Here is a 21,971-nt window from a genome sequence, read left to right on the forward strand (position 1 = left end):
ACAGGGTATAGACTTCTAGGTTAATGGCATTTTTTTCCTCTCAATAGTTTAAATATTTCACTCTACTTCTTGCTTTCGTGGTTTTTGAGGGGAAGTTGAATAGAATTCTTATCTTTGATCCTCTATAGGGAAGGAGATTACTCTGGTTTCTTTGTTGGGGTTTTTAAAAAATCTTTGATTCGCCGTAGTTTGAAAATTATATGCCCAAGTATAGTTTATTTTTGTTTTTGTCGTTGTTGTTTTTACATTTATCCTGCTTCGTGTTTCTGGAGCTTCCTGAATCTATGGTTTGGTGTCTGGCATTAATCTGAGGAAATTCAGCCATTAATGTTAAAAATACTTCTTCTGTTCCTCATTCTTCTCCTTGTATTACCGTTCCGCATAATTTATGCTTTCTGTAGTCGTCCCATAGTGCTTGGATACTCTGTTCTTTTTTGCTTTTTAGTGTTCTCTTTGCTTTTCAGTTCTGGAGGTTGGAGTTGGATATTTCCTTTTCCCCAGGCCGGAAGGCTTTGATAAAACCCCACCAGGTTAGTCTCTAGTTAACTAGCTTCTCTGGAAGGTAGACCTAGTTAAGAGTGCTCCTGCATATTTGAAAATGATTCCTATTCTCCGTCCCCTGTAGTAAGTATGAGGGGATTCTTCCCTGATATTTACTTCGAGAACCTGGTTGAGCTTCTGATGGTACAACTCACAAAATCATGGCCCTGTATGCACAGGCCTCCTGGACGTTTTAACTCTCAGACTTGGCCACAACCTCACTACAGCAATTTGTCAATTCCAGTTCAGGTTTTCCAATCCCAGCGGGGGTTCCTTGGAGCTTTCTGCTCCAGTGTATGGTGATTCTCCACTTCACCTGTCCACCCTATCTGGGGACAGTGGCTTGCCTGTGACCTCATGTCTCTTGCAGGTTTAAGAAGAGCTGCTGAGTTTTCAGTTTGCTCAGCTTTTCACCTGTGAGGAGGCAGTGACAATTCTCAAGATTATCACGTATGGAACCTGAAACTCCCCAACTCCATTGTAATAAAAAGTGTCTTCCCTTCCTCTGGCTCAAGTATTAAAATATTTTCTTTTCGTTCTTTGACACATTTTAATTTGATTCCCGAAATATTTATAATTGTAGATTTAAAAACTCTGTCTTTTGCTGTATCAGACATCTAGACTGGCACCTTCCAACAGAATTATGAGAATCCTATATAGAACTTTAAACCTACTTTGTAGCCTCATATATATATATAAATATATAAACAGGTACAATTAATTTTATTAATATACTTTTAACTCAAAATGCTCATACTATACTTTCAATAAGAAATACAAAGAAAATATTTTCTATTTTTTATATTAACTGGTGTCTTTCACACAGCGAATTCAGTTCAGACCGGGCGCACTTCATGTACTCAGCCACCACGTGTGGTGAGTGACAGAGATCATCTTGCATGTGTGTCCACATTTTACTGCCTTTTTCTTGACCACAGATTCTACCTCCGGTTTCTCTGTGTATGCAGTGATTGTTTGCTTAATATTGCACATTGTGGGTAACGTGTTGAGCACGCTCAGGATCCCATAAGCTTCTTCGGAAGCTTTCCAGCTCTTGTTTTAGCAGGCAGCGCAGGCACTGCTGGGTCATCGTGACCATGGGCAGGCTTGGATTGATTTGCTGCTGGTGTGGATGGGTGGAGAGCTCCAGTCCTGCACCCACTCCGATCTCCGCCTCCTGGACTTGGCAGGGTGGCATGCTCCGCCCACACCAGAGCTCTCTCCGAGCTCCGCCTCCTGGACGTAGTAGGGTGGCCATGCTCCACCCACACCTGAGCTCTGAGCTCCACCTCCTAGACGTGGTAGGGTGATATGCTCCACCCACACCTGAGCTCTCTCTCAGCTCCACCTCCTGGACGTGGTAGGGTGATATACTCTGCCCACACCTGAGCTCTCTCCAAGCTCCGCCTCCTGGACATGGTAGGGTGGCCATGCTCCACCCACACCTGAGATCTCTCTGAGCTCTGCTTCCTGGACATGGTAGGGTGATATGCTCCGCCCACACCTGAGCTCTCTCTGAGCTCCGCCTCCTGGACATGGTAGGGTGATATGCTCCACCCACACCTGAGCTCTCTCTGAGCTCCACCTCCTGGACATGGTAGGGTGATATGCTCCGCCCACACCTGAGCTCTCTCTGAGCTCCGCCTCCTGGACGTGGTAGGGTGATATGCTCCACCCACACCTGAGCTCTCTCCGAGCTCCGCCTCCTGGATGTGGTAGGGTGGCCATGCTCCACCCACACCTGAGCTCTCTCCGAGCTCCGCCTCCTGGACATGGTAGGGTGATATGCTCCGCCCACACCTGAGCTCTCTCTGAGCTCCACCTCCTGGACATGGTAGGGTGATATGCTCCGTCCACACCTGAGCTCTGAGCTCCGCCTCCTGGACATGGTAGGGTGATATGCTCCACCCACACCTGAGCTCTCTCCAAGCTCCACCTCCTGGATGTGGTAGGATGATATGCTCCACCCACACCTGAGGTCTCTCTGAGCTCCGCCTCCTGGACATGGTAGGGTGATATGCTCCACCCACACCTGAGCTCTGAGCTCCACCTCCTGGACATGGTAGGGTGGCCATGCTCCACCCACACCTGAGCTCTGAGCTCCGCCTCCTGAATGTGGTAGGGTGATATGCTCCGCCCACACCTGAGCTCTCTCTGATCTCCGCCTCCTGGACGTGGTAGGGTGGCCATGCTCCACTCACACCTGAGCTCTCTGAGCCACGGTCTGCAGGTGTTCTCCAGGCAGAGGGCAAATGTACTGTCTGTGCGTCTCATTCATTCTCCTGCCCTCAAGTTCTGGCTGGCACAGCTGTAGTCACAGACTTAAAACAGCCATCTCATTCGTTTTGTGCAGTTTTACAGTTGTTTATGGCAGAGGTGTGATTTGGGTCCCTGTTATCTCATCATGGCTAGAAGCAGAAGTTTTGGCAAATTATTCTTGTATCTTTACATTTGAAAATTAAGGGAAAGTTTCACCCATGGAATATTAGCATTGTGACAATGCTAATGAGAGTTTCTCCAGAAACTATGATCCTGGTCAGCAGCCAGTCATTTCATAGAAGATAAACTTTAAGAATATTCTCTGAAGAGCAATGAAACTGAGATAAGATCTAACCACTGTTACCAACAACCAAGAAAAATAGGTAAGAAAATGCAGCTAAGATTTTGTTCAAGTAAGCAGGGTAATAAACATGCAGACTACTGCTAAGCACAAAATAGCTGGGAGTAAAAAATTTTTATGATATTGATATTTATGATTGTACAAAACTACCCCATGTGATATCACAAGGACTCCTGATGAAAATTTACAGAAGGTTTTTTATGGTTTATATAAAAATGCTAGTCAAATCCAAATATTTCACAAAAATAACATTTCAAATATTCTTTTGCATTTTGCAAAGACATCTGTACAATGAGGTTATTCATCACACATGACCCAGTAACATCTCTCAGTGGTTGGATTCAATATGAGAAATAAGCAAGCAAATAACCACACTGCTTCTTCCATTTCAAACTCATCGTTTCTCTTATAAAAAGTGGTCAAGAAAAATGTGTGTTGCCTTAAATAACCGGTTAGTGCCAAGAATTCGGTTTAAAATATTTCAAGTGGGTTATCCTTTTAAGTCCATTTTGTTAGTTACACAAAGAACACATACAAATAACATTTTTTTACCATAAGTTTTGGCAAATTATAACCATAAACTAAACAAACAGGATTAAGCATTTTTTTTTTTTGAGATAGGGTCTTCCTCTGTTGCCCAGGCTGCAGTGCAGTGGCATGACCATGGCTCACTGCAGCCTCAGCCTCCTTGGGCCCAAGTGATCCTCCCACCTCAGCCTCCCGAGCAGCTGGGACTATGCGCACACACCACCATGCCTGGCTGATTTCTGTATTTTTGGTGGAGACAGGGTTTTGGAATGTTGCCCAGGCTGGTCTCAAACTCCAGGACTCAAGCAATCTGCCTGCCTTGGCTTCCCAAAGTGCTGAGGCTGGAGGCATGAGCCACCATGCCTGGCCTAATCATTTTTAAAGAGTCTCTATTTATTATCGTTATTTTTTTCTAATTGAGATGGGGTCTTGCTGTGTTTCCCAGGCTGGAGTGCAGTGGTGCCATCTCAGCTCACGGCAACCTCTGCCTCCCAGGCTCAAGTGATTTTTCCACCTCAGCCTCCCAAGTAGCTGGGACTACAGGTGTACACCACCAGGCCCAGCTAATTTTTTGTACTTTTGGTGGAGACAAAATGTACAAAAGGCATTTTGGTACATTTTGCCATGTTTTCCGGGCTGGTCTTGAACTCTTGGGCTCAAGCCATACGCCTGCCCTGGACTCCCAAAGTGCAGGAGTTACAGGCATGAGCTACCGTGCCTAGCCCCTAATTACGTGCTGTTGCTTAATATTAAAATAAAGAAAAGGAGGAGCCCAAGGGAGCACGTTGGCAGAAAGAGCTCCCTTGCCAACAACCTTGCTAGCACGGCGTTCACTCCCTTGCCCGCTAGCATTTGCTAGCACGGCGTTCACTCCCTTGCCAACAACCTTGCTAGCACGGCGTTCACTCCCTTGCCCACTGGCATTTGCTAGCACGGCGTTCACTCTCTTGCCCGCTGGCACTGTGTTCTTTAGACGAAGATCACGCATGTGTAAATGAAAAACAACAACAACATAGGAACACCCTGTCTCCACAAAAACTTAAAAATTAGCTGGGTGTGGTGGCATGCACCTGTGGTCCCAGGTGCTTGAGAGGCTGAAGTGGGAGGACCGCCTGAGCCCAGGTGGTCACGGCTGCAGTGAGCCAAGAGCTGCAATCATGACACTGAATTCTGACCGTGGCGATAGAGCAAGACCCTGTCTCAAAACAAACAAAAAACAACAAAAACCCCAAATTATGCACTCTTTAAGTTCTGTCCTATCAATCTCAGTACCTTCATTAGTAAAGGTATAAAGGTGAATACTCAGGAGCTACTTGGAATAATGTGGGCATATGCTTGATCTCAGCTCTGATCTGATGCATGTCCTTCTGTCTCACTGCTTGCCAAGACCAAGCTAAACTTCAAAAGTAAAAATACTCCCAAAAAATTGTACATTTTCAACTATTCATATTGTACCTTAAGTTTCTCTTGTAGTGGAGAAAAAAATGGTGTCAAAGTGGTGTGTAGCTTCAAAGTGGGATGTAAGGTGATTTAGGTCCTTTGAGAAGACAAGCTTGCAACTGTCACATGAATAATGTTGGAATCAAAATCACAGAAACTAAACACCAAACAACGTAGGTTCAATCCATGTTTCTAACAAGTATCTGGATAACTACACTTTCTGCTTTACTTGGGTGGGAAGATCATGAGATGTAGTTTATAATTATTTGGGCAGAGAAAATAGAGAATTTGGGTAGTTATGTAAAATTCAAGATTAAATAAAAGCAGTATTACATAACACAAATATAAATGGGCTATTACCTTCAGTAATTCAGATCGGGGTTGGCACATCTGTGCACCAAATCTGGTCCGCTGTTCTTATAAAGTTTTATTGGTACACAGCCATACCCACTTGCTATCACCTATGGCTGCTTTCACACTCCAAGGGCAGAGTTGAGTGGTTGTGACAGACCTTATGGCCTGCAGGAACTAAAATACTATCTGGCAACTTGCAGGCAAAGTTTATGACCCGTGATTTGGGTAACTGCCTAAATTGTCCAATTTGCTTGTTCTAAAACAATACAACAATATAGCACATTTATATGAAGATTTGAGAACATGTATGCACCAGCCTAATCAGAAGAAAAGTCCAATTCCACCCAGAGGGGTACAAACTCTTCCCTTTCCCCTACAAAGAATTAAATGAATAAAATTGTTTGAGATTTTACTGGTATGTATCATATGTATGAGTCTTGATGAAAAGTTAAAAATGTGTTTTTATACAGATACATAATAATGTTACTTTTCCTTCCACGTTTAACTCATACAACACTGTTTTTGGACTTCTGGTTCACAAAATCTGCATTACTGCTTCATTATTTTGAAAGCAAAAACCCCTGATTGCTGGGCTAGGTCAATTCTGAGGTGCCCGGCACATTCAGGAGGCCGTGTCGGGGAGCGTGTCCCTTACCTGGAGGGGTGTAGGCGTCCATCGAGGTCTGCACGACCAGGGACCTGCGTTTGGAAGGCATAGGCACTGCCATCTTCCGCTCTTTGTGTTTGGCCAGAGCCGCCTGGACAGCTTCCGTGTGGACGTCTGAAACGGAGAGAGCTCAGTCACTCAGTGCTCAGCTGAGGTCCCAGAGGCCAAGCTGCACCCTCCTCTCTGTCCCTGCAGCACAGTTCATCCACCTTCTGAAACTCACCAACAGATGGGTGGGCGAGGAAAGAAAATCAGTGTTTACAATTCCAGTAAAGACATTAAAATTCATTCACAGACTTTTAATCATTTATTTTATTACCACAGAATCCATATCCATAAGCAAACACTGGCTGTAAACTGCACTGAGATTTGTCTTTTTAGGGTGAATGGACCTTGATCTTTGGAGATCTCTTTGTAGGTCACACGTTCGAGCCTCCAAATCCTTTCACTGTACTGCTGAGAGGCTGTGCATGCCTCGCACCCCAACTCACAGCCACGGTCACAGCTCAGCTGAGCACCAGCCACAGGCCAGGACTGTGTTGGCTATTGACATGGGTTGGCTGTGTCCCCACCCAAATCTCAACTTGAATTATATCTCCCAGAATTCCCATGTGTTGTGGGAGGGACCCAGGAAGAGGTAATTGAATCATTGGGGCCCATCTTTCCCGTGCTATTATCGTGATAGTGAGTAAGTTTCATGAGATCTGATGGTTTATTAGAGGTTTCCGCTTTTGCTTCTACCTCGTTTTCTCTTGCTGCTGACATGTAAAAAGTGCCTTTTGCCTCCCACCATGATTCTGAGGCCTCCCCAGCCATGCGGAACTGCAAGGCCAATTAAACCTTTTTATTCCCAGTCTTGGGTATGTCTTTATCAGCAATGTGAAAATGGACTAATACAACCATTAACACGCTTTGTGGCTATGAATCCATTACATTAATTCCACACATTCACCAAGTGCCTCCTCTGTAAGTCCCTAAGGGCTGGGAACGCAGTGGTGATAAGGCAGACAGTGTCACAGCATCTCACGCAGGCCAATTCCTAATGGACAAGACAGGTGACAGACGGGGTAGAGAATTAAAGCAGAGACAGACGCTGTGGCAACTCCAAACTGTGAAGCCAGGGAAGAACCCTCTCAACACAAAATCAGAATAACAGGCTTCAAGACAAGAATCTTCGAGACACAGGCAAAAACCCACTCAAAGGCCCTAAACTGTGAGTGAGAACGGTGTTAGCAGAATAAAATCACCACCAACCAAAATGGCCAGTGTGAGTGAAGACGGGTTGGGGGAAAGGGTCCCCAGGACGAGGCAGTCTTCTCTGAAGCTGTGAGAATGATCCCACTGAAAGGGAATCAGACATGTCTTTCCTGCTTAAACCCCGCGAGCTGCCACCTGAGACAGGACCCAGACCCGCCGCATCACGCCCACAATCAGCTCATCACACTGCTTGGTCTTGGTCAGCCTTTGTGCGTACTTCTCTCTCTAACTAGATAAAGAGCCTGGTTTTCTGGCCACTCTTTCTAATTCCCAGGTCAAAAATCAATATGTGACTGACTTGGGCTCATGGCCAAAAACTGAAGGGCTCATCAGTGAGGTGACACAGTCCACTCACTTCCCACAAATCACTTTTTGTTTTGCATATTCTCCATTTTAAACTTTTTGGATATAATTTCAGATACACAGAAAATCTGCAAGACCAGTGTAGAGAATTCCCATATAACTTTTACCAGGCTCACCAACTGCTCCTATCTTACACCACTGCTCTCCCCGCTCCCCCATGAATTTTCTAAGTCAAATGAAAATAAATTTCAGATACTATATTCCTCTATACCTAAATGTTTCAATGTATTTCCTAAACACAAGAATATTCTCTCACATACATTTTCCTCAAGATCAGGAAATTTAGCTGTCATATACAAAGTTCACATTCAAATGGTGTCAACTGTCTCCATAATTTTCTTACTTTGTCTTCCTATTTTATGATCCAATCCAGGATCATGAATTGCATTTATTTGTCAAGTGATTTTTACCCTTCGTGAATCCAAGTTTCTCAGCTTTTTTGTTTCTTGAAATTGGAAATTTTCAAGAATACAGGTTAGTTATTTTACAGCTTGTCCTTTATTTTGGTATCTTCCGGACTAGACTCAAGAGTATGCATTTTAGCAGGGATACCGCAGAAGTCTGTCCTGTGTGGCAATGTTAATGTCGGCAACTCAGTGAAGGTGGTGCTTAAGTTCCTCCAAAGCAAAGATGCTACTACTCACATTGCAATTAAGATTTGGGAGGAGAGACTGTGACACTATGTACATATTCTGTTTTTCATCGATCCTTCACTACTAGTTTTAGCATCCACTGATGATTTCCTGCCATTCCTTCTAAATCATTAGATCTTCTACATTCACTTAAAAATATTTACTCATTTTATCTTTCATCACTCATTTACTTCTGTCAATATGAACTCATGGAGTCTGGCTTGGTGGGTCATAATTCATAATTATAATGGTTTGTTTTGGTGCTCAATTGGTTCCAGATTTGACACCGGATTCCCCAGCCCTTGGACCAGGGCTCCTGCTAGTGAAGTATGGTGTTTGGAAGCTAAGACTAGGAACCGGGTGTGCTGTCACTGGGGGTCTCTGCTGCTGGGCACTGCCAGCAAGCAGAACACACAACATGTGTGTACACACATGTACACCCACACCCATCCACAGGCACTTCTGTCCCTGTCTACATCTGTCGGGAGCCACCAGCTCATACTGGTACCTCCTGCTGCAACCCAATCCCACATGATCCATTCCAGGCTTTGGCCTTTTCTTATTTCTACCTCTCTTGCCAAAAAAGAAACCTGGCTCCTGTTACCCTCAATATATTCACTAATTTATTAAGCTTATTTGCTTAAGCCTGGAGATACAGAAATGCTTTCAGAATTGCTATCTAGTACCACTGTGAAAAATCTATCAAATAGAGTTCAGTGTTCATTTACAATTATTTTTTCATTGTTTTCTTTTGGAAGGGCGGGAGTACAAAGTATACACAGTGAAATGTTCAGATCTTAAGTACACTTGGTGCACTTTGATAAGTGGAAATCTACCTATTACCCTGATCAAATCTTTTGCCTCAAAGTTCCCACACATCCCCTCCCGGTCAATCCTGGCCCTCGTGAGACAGCCACTGTTCATTCATGAGGCGTGTTCACTGGTGCTCTTCCGTCACCTGAGACTCGTGTAGATTCCCCATCGTCACATGGACTCCACGCCATGGTGTTCCCTCAAGAGACAGCCACTGTTCATTCATGAGGAGTGTTCCTTGGCGCTCTTCCATCACCCGAGACTCGTGTAGATTCTCTACCATTGCATGGACTCCACGCCATGGTGTTCCCTCAAGAGACAGCCACCGTTCATTCATGAGGAGTGTTCCTTGGCACTGTTCCGTCACCCGAGACTCGTGTAGATTCTCCACCGTCACATGGAGCCCACGGCATAGTGTTCACTCAAGAGACAGCCACTGTTCATTCATGAGGAGTGTTCCTTGGCGCTCTTCCATCATCCGAGACTCATGTAGATTCTCCATCATCACATGGAGCCCACGCCATGGTGTTCACTCAAGAGACAGCCACTGTTCATTCATGAGGAGTGTTTCTTGGTGCTCTTCCGTCACCCGAGACTTGTGTAGATTCTCCACCGTCACATGGAGCCCACAGCATGGTGTTCACTCCAGAGACAGCCACTGTTCATTCATGAGGAGTGTTCCTTGGCGCTATTCCGTCACCTGACACTCGTGTAGATTCTCCACCGTCACATGGACTCCACAGCATGGTGTTCACTCTCTGCTCAATTCAAGGCTCCTGGAACTCATCGCCGTTGCCTATTTTGGTTTCAGTATTTTGTACATTTTTCCTGATGGGAACTAGGACAATGTATGAATATATCATAATTTGCTCATGTTTCTCCAGCTGAGAGAGATTTACGTTGTTTCCAGTTTTTGGCTATGAGAATTTACTCTGGAGATAATGTGCATTCTTTTACACGGACACACATTTTCATCTCTCCTTGGTGAACATCTACAGCATACCTGCTGGGCCATATGGTAAATGTACACATTTTAAAGAAACTGCCACACTGTTTGCTAAAGTGGCCGTGCCGTTTTAAGTCTCCATCAGTCTGAGATCCAGCCTGTCATATCTTCACTAGCACCTGCTACCATCCTCCTCCTCCACTCTTGTGAAGTGGAACCTCATGGGTTTAAGTTGTACTTACCAAATGACCCCTGGTGAGCGCCTTTCATGGGACCACTGGGCATCTGTATACATCTGTTGTGAAGAGTCTATCTTGCACTGGGCATCTGTATACAACTGTTGTGAAGAGTCTCATGGCCCATGGGGCATCTGTATACAACTGTTGTGAAGAGTCTATCTTGCACTGGACATCTGTATACATCTGTTGTGAAGAGTCTGTCTTGCACTGGACATCTGTATACATCTGTTGTGAAGAGTCTCACAGGCCCACTGGGCATCTGTATATATTGGTTGCAAAGAGTATATCTTGCACTGGACATCTGTATATATCTGTTGTGAAGAGTCTCACAGGCCCACTGGACATCTGTATACAACTGTTGTGAAGAGTCTATCTTGCACTGGGCATCTGTATACATCTGTTGCGAAGAGTCTCACAGTCCACTGGGCATCTGTATACATCTGTTGTGAAGAGTCTCATGGTCTACTGGGCATCTGTATACAACTGTTGCGAAGAGTCTATCTTGCACTGGGCATCTGTATACATCTGTTGTGAAGAGTCCATCTTGCACTGGACATCTGTATACATCTGTTGTGAAGAGTCTCACAGTCCACTGAGCATCTGTATACACCTGTTGTGAAGAGTCTCACAGGACCACTGGGCATCTCTATACATCTGTTGTGAAGAGTCTCACGGTCCACTGGGCATCTGTATACATCTGCTGTGAAGAGTCTATCTTGCACTGGCCATCTGTATACATCTATTGAGAAGAGTCTATCTTGCACTGGCCATCTGTATACATCTGTTGTGAAGTCTCACAGGCCCACTGGGCGTCTGTATACATCTGTTGTGAAGAGTCTCACGGTCCACTGGGCATCTGTATACATCAGTCGTGAAGAGTCTATCTTGCACTGGACATCTGTATACATCTGTTGTGAAGAGTCTCACAGGCCCACTGGGCATCTGTATACGTCTGTTGCAAAGAGTCTCATGGTCCACTGGGCAACTGTATACATCTGTTGTGAAGAGTCTCACCGTTCACTAGGCATCTATATACATCTGTTGCAAAGAGTCTATCTTGCACTGGGCATCTGTATACATCTGTTGTGAAAAGTCTCACAGTCCACTGGGCATCTGTATACACCTGTCATGAAGAGTCTCACGGTCCACTGGGCATCTATATACATCTGTTGCGAAGAGTCTATCTTCCACTGGACATCGGTATACAACTGTTGTGAAGAGTCTCATGGTCCACTGGGCATCTGTATACCTCTGTTGTGAAGAGTCCCATGGTCCACTGGGCATCTGTATACATCTGTTGTGAAGAGTGTATCTTGCATGCTTGCAAAATTCACACCATTTCTGGTTGCTTCTAGATTTCCTAAAATTTTCTAAATAAGGCCCTGTGTCTTCGGTAAATCAAGTGTCTCATGCCTTCCAAGTCTGTGCCTTTTAGTTCTCCTGACTCACTTCATTGACGAGGGCCCCAGTGAGTGCCATGCAGACCTGAACCACGGAGAATGGCCATGATCCCCTGACACCCAACTGTGGGCAGAGCGCCCCGGCTGCCACCATGGAGGAGGGGCATCAGCTCTCATTTTTCAGGAAGGGCCCTTATCAAACAGAGAAAGATCCCTTCTGTTCCTGATGTGACAGGAAATTCGTATAACGACTATTAAATTTCAACAGATGTTTTTCAGCATCTTCTGAGATGATAAAATGGGTTTTCTCCTTTATTTTTTGTCAATGTAGTGAATTACATTGATTTTTGAATGATGAGCCAAGTGTGCCAGGCAAAACTACACCACATCAAGAGAACAAACTCAACTGGTTGTGATATTCATATCCCTTTTACATATTTTGGGTTTGATGTAGTAATAATTTGTAAAAAGCTTCGGCATCTATATGTCAAGAAGAGTGAAAAGTGTGAGATTTTTGTCTCGCATGCAAACTAACAAGGGAGCCAGCACCAGCCCAACATGCTGACAGAGCTGGGACATTCCCAGGCCAGAAACAAAGGGCTTGTCACACACAGTGGGGCAGCAGGACCCACTCACCCCTGTCGATACTCAGGATCACACACAGTGGAGCAGCAGGACCCACTCATCCCCATCTATACTCAGGATCACACACAGTGGGGCAGTAGGACCCAATCACCCCCGTCGATATTCAGGATCACACACAGTGGGGCAGCAGGACCCACTCACCCCTGTCGATATTCAGGATCACACACAGTGGGGCAGCAGGACCCACTCACCCCTGTCGATACTCAGGATCACACACAGTGGGGCAGCAGGACCCACTCATCCCCATCTATACTCAGGATCACACACAGTGGGGCAGCAGGACCCGCTCACTCCCATCGATACTCAGGATCACACACAGTGGGGCAGCAGGACCCGCTCACTCCCATCAATACTCAGGATCACATGCAGTGGGGCAGCAGGACCCACTCACCCGTCGATAATCAGGATCACACACAGTGGGGCAGCAGGACCCACTCATCCCTGTCTATACTCAGGATCACACACAGTGGGGCAGCAGGACCCAATCACCCCCATTGATATTCAGGATCACACACAGTGGGGCAGCAGGACCCGCTCACTCCCACTGATGCTCAGGATCACACACAGTAGGGCAGCAGGACCCACTCATCCCCGTCTATACTCAGGATCACACACAGTGGGGCAGCAGGACCCGCTCACTCCCGTCGATACTCAGGATCACACACAGTGCGGCAGCAGGACCCACTCATTCCCATTAATAATCAGGATCACACACAGTGGGGCAGCAGGACCCACTCATCCCTGTCTATACTCAGGATCACACACAGTGGGGCAGCAGGACCCAATCACCCCCGTTGATATTCAGGATCACACACAGTGGGGCAGCAGGACCCGCTCACTCCCACTGATGCTCAGGATCACACACAGTAGGGCAGCAGGACCCACTCATCCCCGTCTATACTCAGGATCACACACAGTGGGGCAGCAGGACCCACTCATCCCCATCTATACTCAGGATCACACACAGTGGGGCAGCAGGACCCGCTCACTCCCGTCGATACTCAGGATCACACACAGTGCGGCAGCAGGACCCACTCATTCCCGTCAATAATCAGGATCACACACAGTGGGGCAGCAGGACCCACTCATCCCTGTCTATACTCAGGATCACACACAGTGGGTCAGCAGGACCCACTCACCCCATTGATATTCAGGATCACACACAGTGGGGCAGCAGGACCCACTCACTCCCGTCGATACTCAGGATCACACGCAGTGGGGCAGCAGGACCCACTCACCCCTGTCGATAATCAGGATCACTCACAGTGGGGCAGCAGGACCCACTCATCCCCGTCTATACTCAGGATCACACACAGTGGGGCAGCAGGACCCGCTCACTCCCGTTGATACTCAGGATCACACACAGTGGGGCAGCAGGACCCGCTCACTCCCGTTGATACTCAGGATCACACACAGTGGGGCAAGCAGGACCCACTCACTCCCGTCGATACTCAGGATCACACACAGTGGGGCAAGCAGGACCCACTCACCCCTGTCGATATTCAGGATCACACACAGTGGGGCAGCAGGACCCGCTCACTCCCATCAATACTCATGATCACACACAGTGGGGCAGCAGGACCCACTCACCCCTGTCGATACTCAGGATCACACACAGTGGGGCAGCAGGACCCACTCATCCTCATCTATACTCAGGATCACACACAGTGGGGCAGCAGGACCTGCTCACTCCCGTCGATACTCAGGATCACACACAGTGGGGCAGAAGGACCCACTCATCCTCATCTATACTCAGGATCACACACAGTGGGGCAGCAGGACCTGCTCACTCCCGTCGATACTCAGGATCACACACAGTGGGGCAGAAGGACCCACTCATCCTCATCTATACTCAGGATCACACACAGTGGGGCAGCAGGACCTGCTCACTCCCGTCGATACTCAGGATCACACACAGTGCGGCAGCAGGACCCACTCATCCCTGTTGATACTCAGGATCATATACACTGGGGCAGCAGGACCCACTCACCCCTGTCAATACTCAGGATCACATACAGTGGGGCAGCAAGACCCACTCACCCCCGTCGATACTCAGCGGCATCCTTTACCACTTAAGGGACTTTCAAGCTCATCTTGTGTAACAAAAGTCGACTTCTCCACCTCCCCATACAAAGGCAAGATGTTATTTAGGCAAACAAAATTAACGATCAAGTAAAGAAATGCTTACAATTTTCTCTTCTGAGAAAATTTGTTTTTAGTGACTGCGGCTATCAAGGCACACACTTGCATATTATACATAATACTGCTTGTGGCCAAAGTCACGGTACTTTCCTACTCTTAAATAATTTATCAAGAGTCCTGAAAAGTGAGTATCTTAAAGAGAAAAGTGGTATGTGGCTTACTCCAGGCTAAGGAGTGAGTAAGGCAGCCTATTCTTGTGAAATATGTGATTTTTCTACAGGAAGGGGAATATCACACTCTGGGGACTGTGGTGGGGTCGGGGGAGGGGGGAGGGATAGCAGTGGGAGATATACCTAATGATAGATGACACGTTGGTGGGTGCAGCGCACCAGCATGGCACATGTATACATATGTAACTAACCTGCACAATGTGCACATGTACCCTAAAACTTAAAGTATAATTAAAAAAAAAAAAAAAAGAAGTAAACACATTCAGTTACCTAATTCCATGAAGAAAATATTAATAAACTATTAATAAAAACACATACACACACACAACTACAGTCATGTGCCAAATAAAGATGTTTCAGTCAACAACAACAAAAAAAAAAAAAAAAGAAAATCTGAGAACAAGATATCATTGTGAGATTGTTATCTCCAGGAAGGAGTGAAATGGGTGCTGGGAAATTGAGGGAGCCTTGGAACAGGAATCTCACCATCTCGAATGGGGAATCCAGCAAATGGGAAAACAGTCGCTCTGATTCACGGACGTTTCTGAAAGCTTCACGTCCACTCCATGTTGCATTTGAATGACTTTTCTCCTTGTGATGTGGACCCGACACAAGAGAGGTCCCACGTAGACATTCGGCATTTGTCAGGGTCTGGCACCGTGGCTCACTTCCACAGATTTAACATGTTTATGTATAAATTACAATGGTCCCGTGTTGCATTTGAATGACTTTTCTTCTTGTGATGTGGACCCGACACAAGAGAGGTCCCACGTAGACATTTGGCACTTGTCAGGATCTGGCACCTTGACTCACTTCTACAGATTTAAGATGTTTACGTATCAATTACAATGGCTCAACTGTATAAAAGCTGGTATCAGTTATGGATCAATTCCCTTATTTCTCTCTTGGGCCACACTTCCTGCTTCTGCAGAACATATCACTTGGCTGCAACACACAATGTTGACATTGAAAATAAAAAAGACTGTATAAAAATGATGCAGAGAATTCTTCTGAAAGGCCACTGGGACACACACTTTGTTGGTGATCAGCTGTCTACTAGCAGCAGCAAGAGAGACAGAGCTCCACGCATGAGCAGCCACAGCACCTGGGTCTGTGACCCACACCAAGACCCCCAGGGTGACGACAGGCCAACCAACAGCCTTGGAAAGTACACTTCCTTCCCAGAAGAGCTTCCCAAGAGAAAACAGAAACACTGATAATTGCAGGCATTTCCATGACTGGTCTGGAACAATGAAACCACTCACCTCCAACAAGGAACACATCTTGTTTCAACTGAGGCAACTAAAAAGACGAAGGAAATAGCACAAAAGCCAGGTTGGTTCTGTCACTTACACACACACAGACATGTACAGGTCTGTATGTGCGTACATGTATGTATATGTCCATATGTGTGGGTATAAAATATACTGTCTATGCCTCAATAACGGCATCGTCTAAATTCAGCCTGTGAGTTCCTCAGGGCCAGGGAGGGAGTCTCAAAGCCCATCTCTGCAGCACCGGGCTGTGCTCCCCAGCCCCTGCCTGTGGGCGGTGACTGGTGAAGCAACAAACCCTCCCAGCCCTGTTCCTTCTACACCACATCCGGAACAGGCGTACGTACACCTGGTATAGAAAGCTCCCACAGCCTGAACAGATCATTCGATTCTAAGTCAGGTTAACCTAATCTCTGCAGTGCAGTCCTACAAACAGATTTTCAAAAAGTTACCAAACCACCACCTCAAACCTCAACACTTTGTCTACTTGGAAAGAGGACGTGGGACTGGGATTTACTCGGCCACCAAAACACTCACAGGGTATTATCCTATCGCCCTTCAGTGCCCAGAATAATCATGTGGTCTCTCGCAGTAAAAACAAAACCACAACCACCGCAACCCAGCTTTTCTTCAAGTTGTAGGGAGTTTTACAGCCTCTTTCTATGTGGTCTTTCTTTTTGCCCCAAACTGGATATTCTTTTTACTTTCTCCTTATTTCCTGACTATAATTTAATCAATGTAATTAAAGTGCTTGTGTTAGAAGCAATTTTACTTAAAAAGAATTGAAAGAACTACATCAAAATATTAACAGTAGCCATTTCAGGATGACAAGATGACAACGTATTGTTTTTTGTTCATTCTCTTCAACATTTGCGAAGTTTTCTGCCTTGAGTGTAACCACTTTTGCCATCAGAGGTTACATATAGTGCTTGATGGAATGAGGCCATAGAGCACACACACCACCCTCTAACACAAAGCAATCATGTGGGGAAGGATGGAGACACAGGAAAGGTACATCTTGAAGAAATGCGGGTTTTTTTCCATAAAGGCAAAAGACATTTTAAGAAATGTTTGCACCATACACAAGTCTGCTACATTTGGTCAAAAAACTGAGAAAACAGTAACAGAAGAATACTTCTGCCCACAAGGAGACCAGCACACCCAGCTCAGGGCGACACAAGGAGACCAGCACACCCAGCTCGGGGCGACTCCAGACGAGGACAGAGAGTGGTTTCCTCACAGCTGACCCACAGGATCGGGTAACACGAGCAGGAGGGAAGCATGGGGACCACAAAGATGTCAGACTGTGGACTGCACAGCAGAAGACAGCAACACAAACCAGTGGAGTCACTAAAAACAATTGCAAAAAGATGTCTACATTCTGCTTTAACCGGAAATCAGTGGCACAGTGACACTTCAAAACATCCATAAACAGCACCCTGAAGATTCCGTCAGACTCTACATGGAACAATGTTAAGGCAAATAATGATAACGGGATAGCGCTAAGGGGTCTTCTCAGTGCAGACCCTTAGAGCGCGCACTAACCCCATCATCAAAACACGGCAAACACGTGGAAAAAGGACAACCTGCCCAGGGGTGAAGAGCAGCTTCTGAAGCACGCAGTGTAATTATGAGTGACTAAAGTGAGTCAGAATCTACCTCCATGTGCTAAGTTGTTGCTGTGTTTAATAATCCCAGTCCAACTCAAAATATCCAAGCCAGAAAGGAGCATCCGGCCACTAACATCTACAATAGCGATTAAATGGACAGCGCTTTGTCGAAAGACCTTTCACAACGTGACACCTAGAGGGAAGCGAAGCAACCAAGCCACGATGGCCCCCTGGTTCCTCTCGCTGCTCCTCCTGGGTCCTCAGCACAGCCGGGTGGCTCTGCTGGTGCCCTCCTGCAGAGAAAACACCACACACCGCTACTGAGGAGGTCTCTTATGACATCCAGCTTAAAAGGCCGCATGTCCACTGGCCAGTGGCCCAAATCCCACAGGTGAGGCGAGAGAAGAGGGATAGACTTGACCACAGGGCACGGGGCAGGATGGACCCATCTCCCTTGAGAGCCAACGCCAGCGGATCACCGGGAGGCCTGGCCAGTCTGAGGCCCCAGTGCGAGGAAGGGGGCAGTGTTGGATTAACACACAGTGCTGGAAAGGGTATGAGCTGAGAACAAAGACGTTTACAGAGCTCTGCATAAAACCCAGATCACTGTGAGAAGAGCTCATAAGATGAAGAACTTTTAGGAAAATATAACATGGGTAAACAGGTTGCTACAAAACAAATATTCCCTTGAAAACACAATATCCTTTTCATAAAATGAGCTGATAAATGAAATCTAGCAGCTGTGCAGCATCAGAAATCCATTACAGCATCTGATCAAGCGTCCTCCAAAGCCTTAATTACAAATGCCCTGAATACAGTTTTACCCGGCCACATGAATGAGACACCAGATGAGAGGCCGTGGAATGGAAACAATGAGAAACAGAAATCTCTCGGGTGAAGGTACCAGGCAGGATTGCAGCGGAGTCAACAGACATGTGTGCAAACATCACGAGAGTAACAAGATTTGCTGGTCATGCTGGACATACAGTGTCAAAGACTCCAGCAAATGCCTGAAATACAAATGCTTAAAACGATAGGAGAAAATAATCTGGAGGCTCAGCAGTCAGGACAGAGGGCAGTGATTGTCTAGTATTTTTAAGTATCTTTGAGGAAGAGCACTGAAAGTGGTCAAGGATACTTCCACTTAGGGAGAGGCTAGGAAGTGACGGCTTAAAATTTCACGTAAATGGAAGATGATTCTAGTTTGGGATCCTAAAGCAGCATTAACGTGTTATCAAAGCAAAGAGAAAAGAAGCAGATGCATAAATACTGAATGAGAAAGGAATGAGGGAATGTAACAGGTACAGCTGGACTCAGGGCTGTCAGGGCAAACACAGCACAGGGGCTCCAAGGAGACCACGCTGCCTGCAGCCATCTCAGGCAGGGAGGGATATTGCTGGAGAAGCTCCTACAAAGCTGTCGGAGCTGGGGGTGAGCTGCTGGCTGCCATGCAACACAGAGGCCAGAGACCCCAGCAGCAGCAGGACCTGCTAGAGCCTCTGTGCACAGCCCTGAGACTAAGAAGTGAAACCACTGTCCTCACATGCCTCTGTCACACTTCACAAACACAACTCAACAGAATTTGCAGGACTCAGATCCATGGTTTCTGAAGAAGGCAATAAAGGGTGAATTTGGAGCTGAGAGGCAATAAATTGATAGAGGTGCATTTGGTGACTCCAAAAGAGGCAGATCTTTCTCGTTTTTTCTGCTGTGGCTGCTAACAGTTCATTCCCTTTAGGCCTTTCACTCTAAGAACCCAGAAGCACCCATCTATTAAGAGAAGGGCTTATTCAGGATCAGCTTCATGCAGCATTGAATAAATCACTATTGCTAGTGAAGAGTTTGTTGGTACTACTTACATTTATAGTGTTAGATAAATTGGTTAACTAAAATACATTTAACAGCGTTTCTTAAAGTACTAAAAAGGGATAAAATACTAAAAATACTAAAAAGGGATAAAGTACTAAAAAGGGGATAAAAATGTCAGCACCCCTCAAACCCCTCAGAGAAAGAGGTAGTATACAAATGCACCCTGTATGCTTGATGTCATTATTGCAATGAGATATTCAGGGATAAAAGCATCAGCACCTATCAAACCCCTCAGAGAAAGAGGTAGTATACAAATGCACCATCTATGCTTGATGTCATTATTGCAATGAGATATTCGGGGATAAAAACATCAGCACCCTTCGAACCCCTCAGAGAAAGAGGTAGTATACAAATGCACCATCTATGCTTGATGTCATTATTGCAATGAGATACTCAGGGATAAAAACATCAGCACCCCTCAGAGAAAGAGGTAGTATACAAACGCACCCTCTATGCTCGATGTCATTATTGCAATGAGATATTCGGGGGATAAAAACATGAGCACCCCTGGAACCCTCAGAGAAAGAGGTAGTATACAAATGCGCCCTTTATGCTTGAAGTCATTATTGCTGTTACTAGTATTCTAGATTACTATGTATATCCACAGCTTTAAATCTTTAGAAAAACCCATACCCTTCACTTCCATCTTTTGAAGTCATAAATCACAATCCATTTCCTAGAGCTCCTGCCATTTGCACCAAGCTCACAGCATTACACAGTGAGCACACACACAGCCTGGGGCTGCTGTCCAATGGCAAAGACAACCATGAGTCAACAGAAGAGAATGTTCCTCCAAGGTAGATACGTGGCTTCACAGCAGCAGAGCAGGAAGACGTAGGTTCGGGAGCCAGGCCGCACCGGTTCAAACCCCAGCTCCTCTGTGACCTTGGGCAAGTTGCTTAACCTATTTGCACCCCCATTTCCCTGGGTGCAAATCAGGAACAGTGAGTCCCTGCCTGAGGAGTGGCCCATGAGGAGTAAATGAGATGAAAACACTCTGCAGTGAGTCCCTGCCTGAGGGGAGACCGTGAGGAATAAATGAGATGAAAACACTGCAGTGAGTCCCTGCCTGAGGGGAGACCGTGAGGAGTAAATGAGATGAAAACACTCTGCAGTGAGTCCCTGCCTGAGGGGAGACCGTGAGGAGTAAATGAGATGAAAACACTCTGCAGTGAGTCCCTGCCTGAGGGGAGACCGTGAGGAGCAAATGAGATGAAAACACTCTGCAGTGAGTCCCTGCCTGAGGGGAGGCCGTGAGGAGCAAATGAGATGAAAACACTCTGCAGTGAGTCCCTGCCTGAGGGGAGGCCGTGAGGAGCAAATGAGATGAAAACACTCTGCAGTGAGTCCCTGCCTGAGGGGAGACCGTGAGGAATAAATGAGATGAAAACACTCTGCAGTGAGTCCCTGCCTGAGGGGAGACCGTGAGGAATAAATGAGATGAAAACACTCTGCAGTGAGTCCCTGCCTGAGGGGAGGCCGTGAGGAGTAAATGAGATGAAAACACTCTGCAGTGAGTCCCTGCCTGAGGGGAGGCCGTGAGGAGTAAATGAGATGAAAACACTCTGCAGTGAGTCCCTGCCTGAGGGGAGGCCGTGAGGAGTAAATGAGATGAAAACACTCTGCAGTGAGTCCCTGCCTGAGGGGAGGCCGTGAGGAGCAAATGAGATGAAAACACTCTGCAGTGAGTCCCTGCCTGAGGGGAGACTGTGAGGAATAAATGAGATGAAAACACTCTGCAGTGAGTCCCTGCCTGAGGGGAGACTGTGAGGAATAAATGAGATGAAAACACTCTGCAGTGAGTCCCTGCCTGAGGGGAGGCCGTGAGGAGTAAATGAGATGAAAACACTCTGCAGTGAGTCCCTGCCTGAGGGGAGACTGTGAGGAGTAAATGAGATGAAAACACTCTGCAGTGAGTCCCTGCCTGAGGGGAGGCCGTGAGGAGTAAATGAGATGAAAACACTCTGCAGTGAGTCCCTGCCTGAGGGGAGGCCATGAGGAGTAAATGAGATGAAAACACTCTGCAGTGAGTCCCTGCCTGAGGGGAGGCCGTGAGGAGTAAATGAGATGAGAACACTCTGCAGTGAGTCCCTGCCTGAGGGGAGGCTGTGAGGAGTAAATGAGATGAAAACACTCTGCAGTGAGTCCCTGCCTGAGGGGAGACTGTGAGGAGTAAATGAGTGACTGAATCAAAGCACTCACAGCGGAGCTGCCTCCTGGTGATTAAAACACTCTGCAAGTGCAAGAGCTTAAGATGCTCCTCCTGGTTAGTGTGACCCAAGTCTGGAAAGAGGACAGAGAAGAAAGCCAAGCCTGGGAGAAGCCAAAACTGTGCAAGAGGCCAGACGAGACAGGCTGCATGGAATTCCACCTGTCCACGGCCACCGTTTGTCTCCACTACA

The 21,971-nt window shown here is 46.5% G+C and overlaps 1 protein-coding gene across 7 annotated transcripts in view; it reads right to left on the reverse strand.

Annotated features, from left to right (window-relative positions):
- DIP2C (disco interacting protein 2 homolog C) overlaps positions 1 to 21,971 on the reverse strand; it is a 415,468-nt gene that overhangs the window by 160,533 nt on the left and 232,964 nt on the right. For all 7 annotated transcript variants that reach the window (NM_014974.3, XM_005252427.5, XM_005252426.4 and 4 more), the window contains one exon: positions 6,138 to 6,263. In NM_014974.3, coding sequence (NP_055789.1) covers positions 6,138 to 6,263 — 126 coding nt within the window. The remainder of the gene's footprint in view (positions 1 to 6,137; positions 6,264 to 21,971) is intronic.

This window comes from Homo sapiens, chromosome 10 (genome assembly GCF_000001405.40).
Source record: "Homo sapiens chromosome 10, GRCh38.p14 Primary Assembly".
In the NCBI taxonomy this organism is placed as follows: domain Eukaryota; kingdom Metazoa; phylum Chordata; class Mammalia; order Primates; family Hominidae; genus Homo; species Homo sapiens.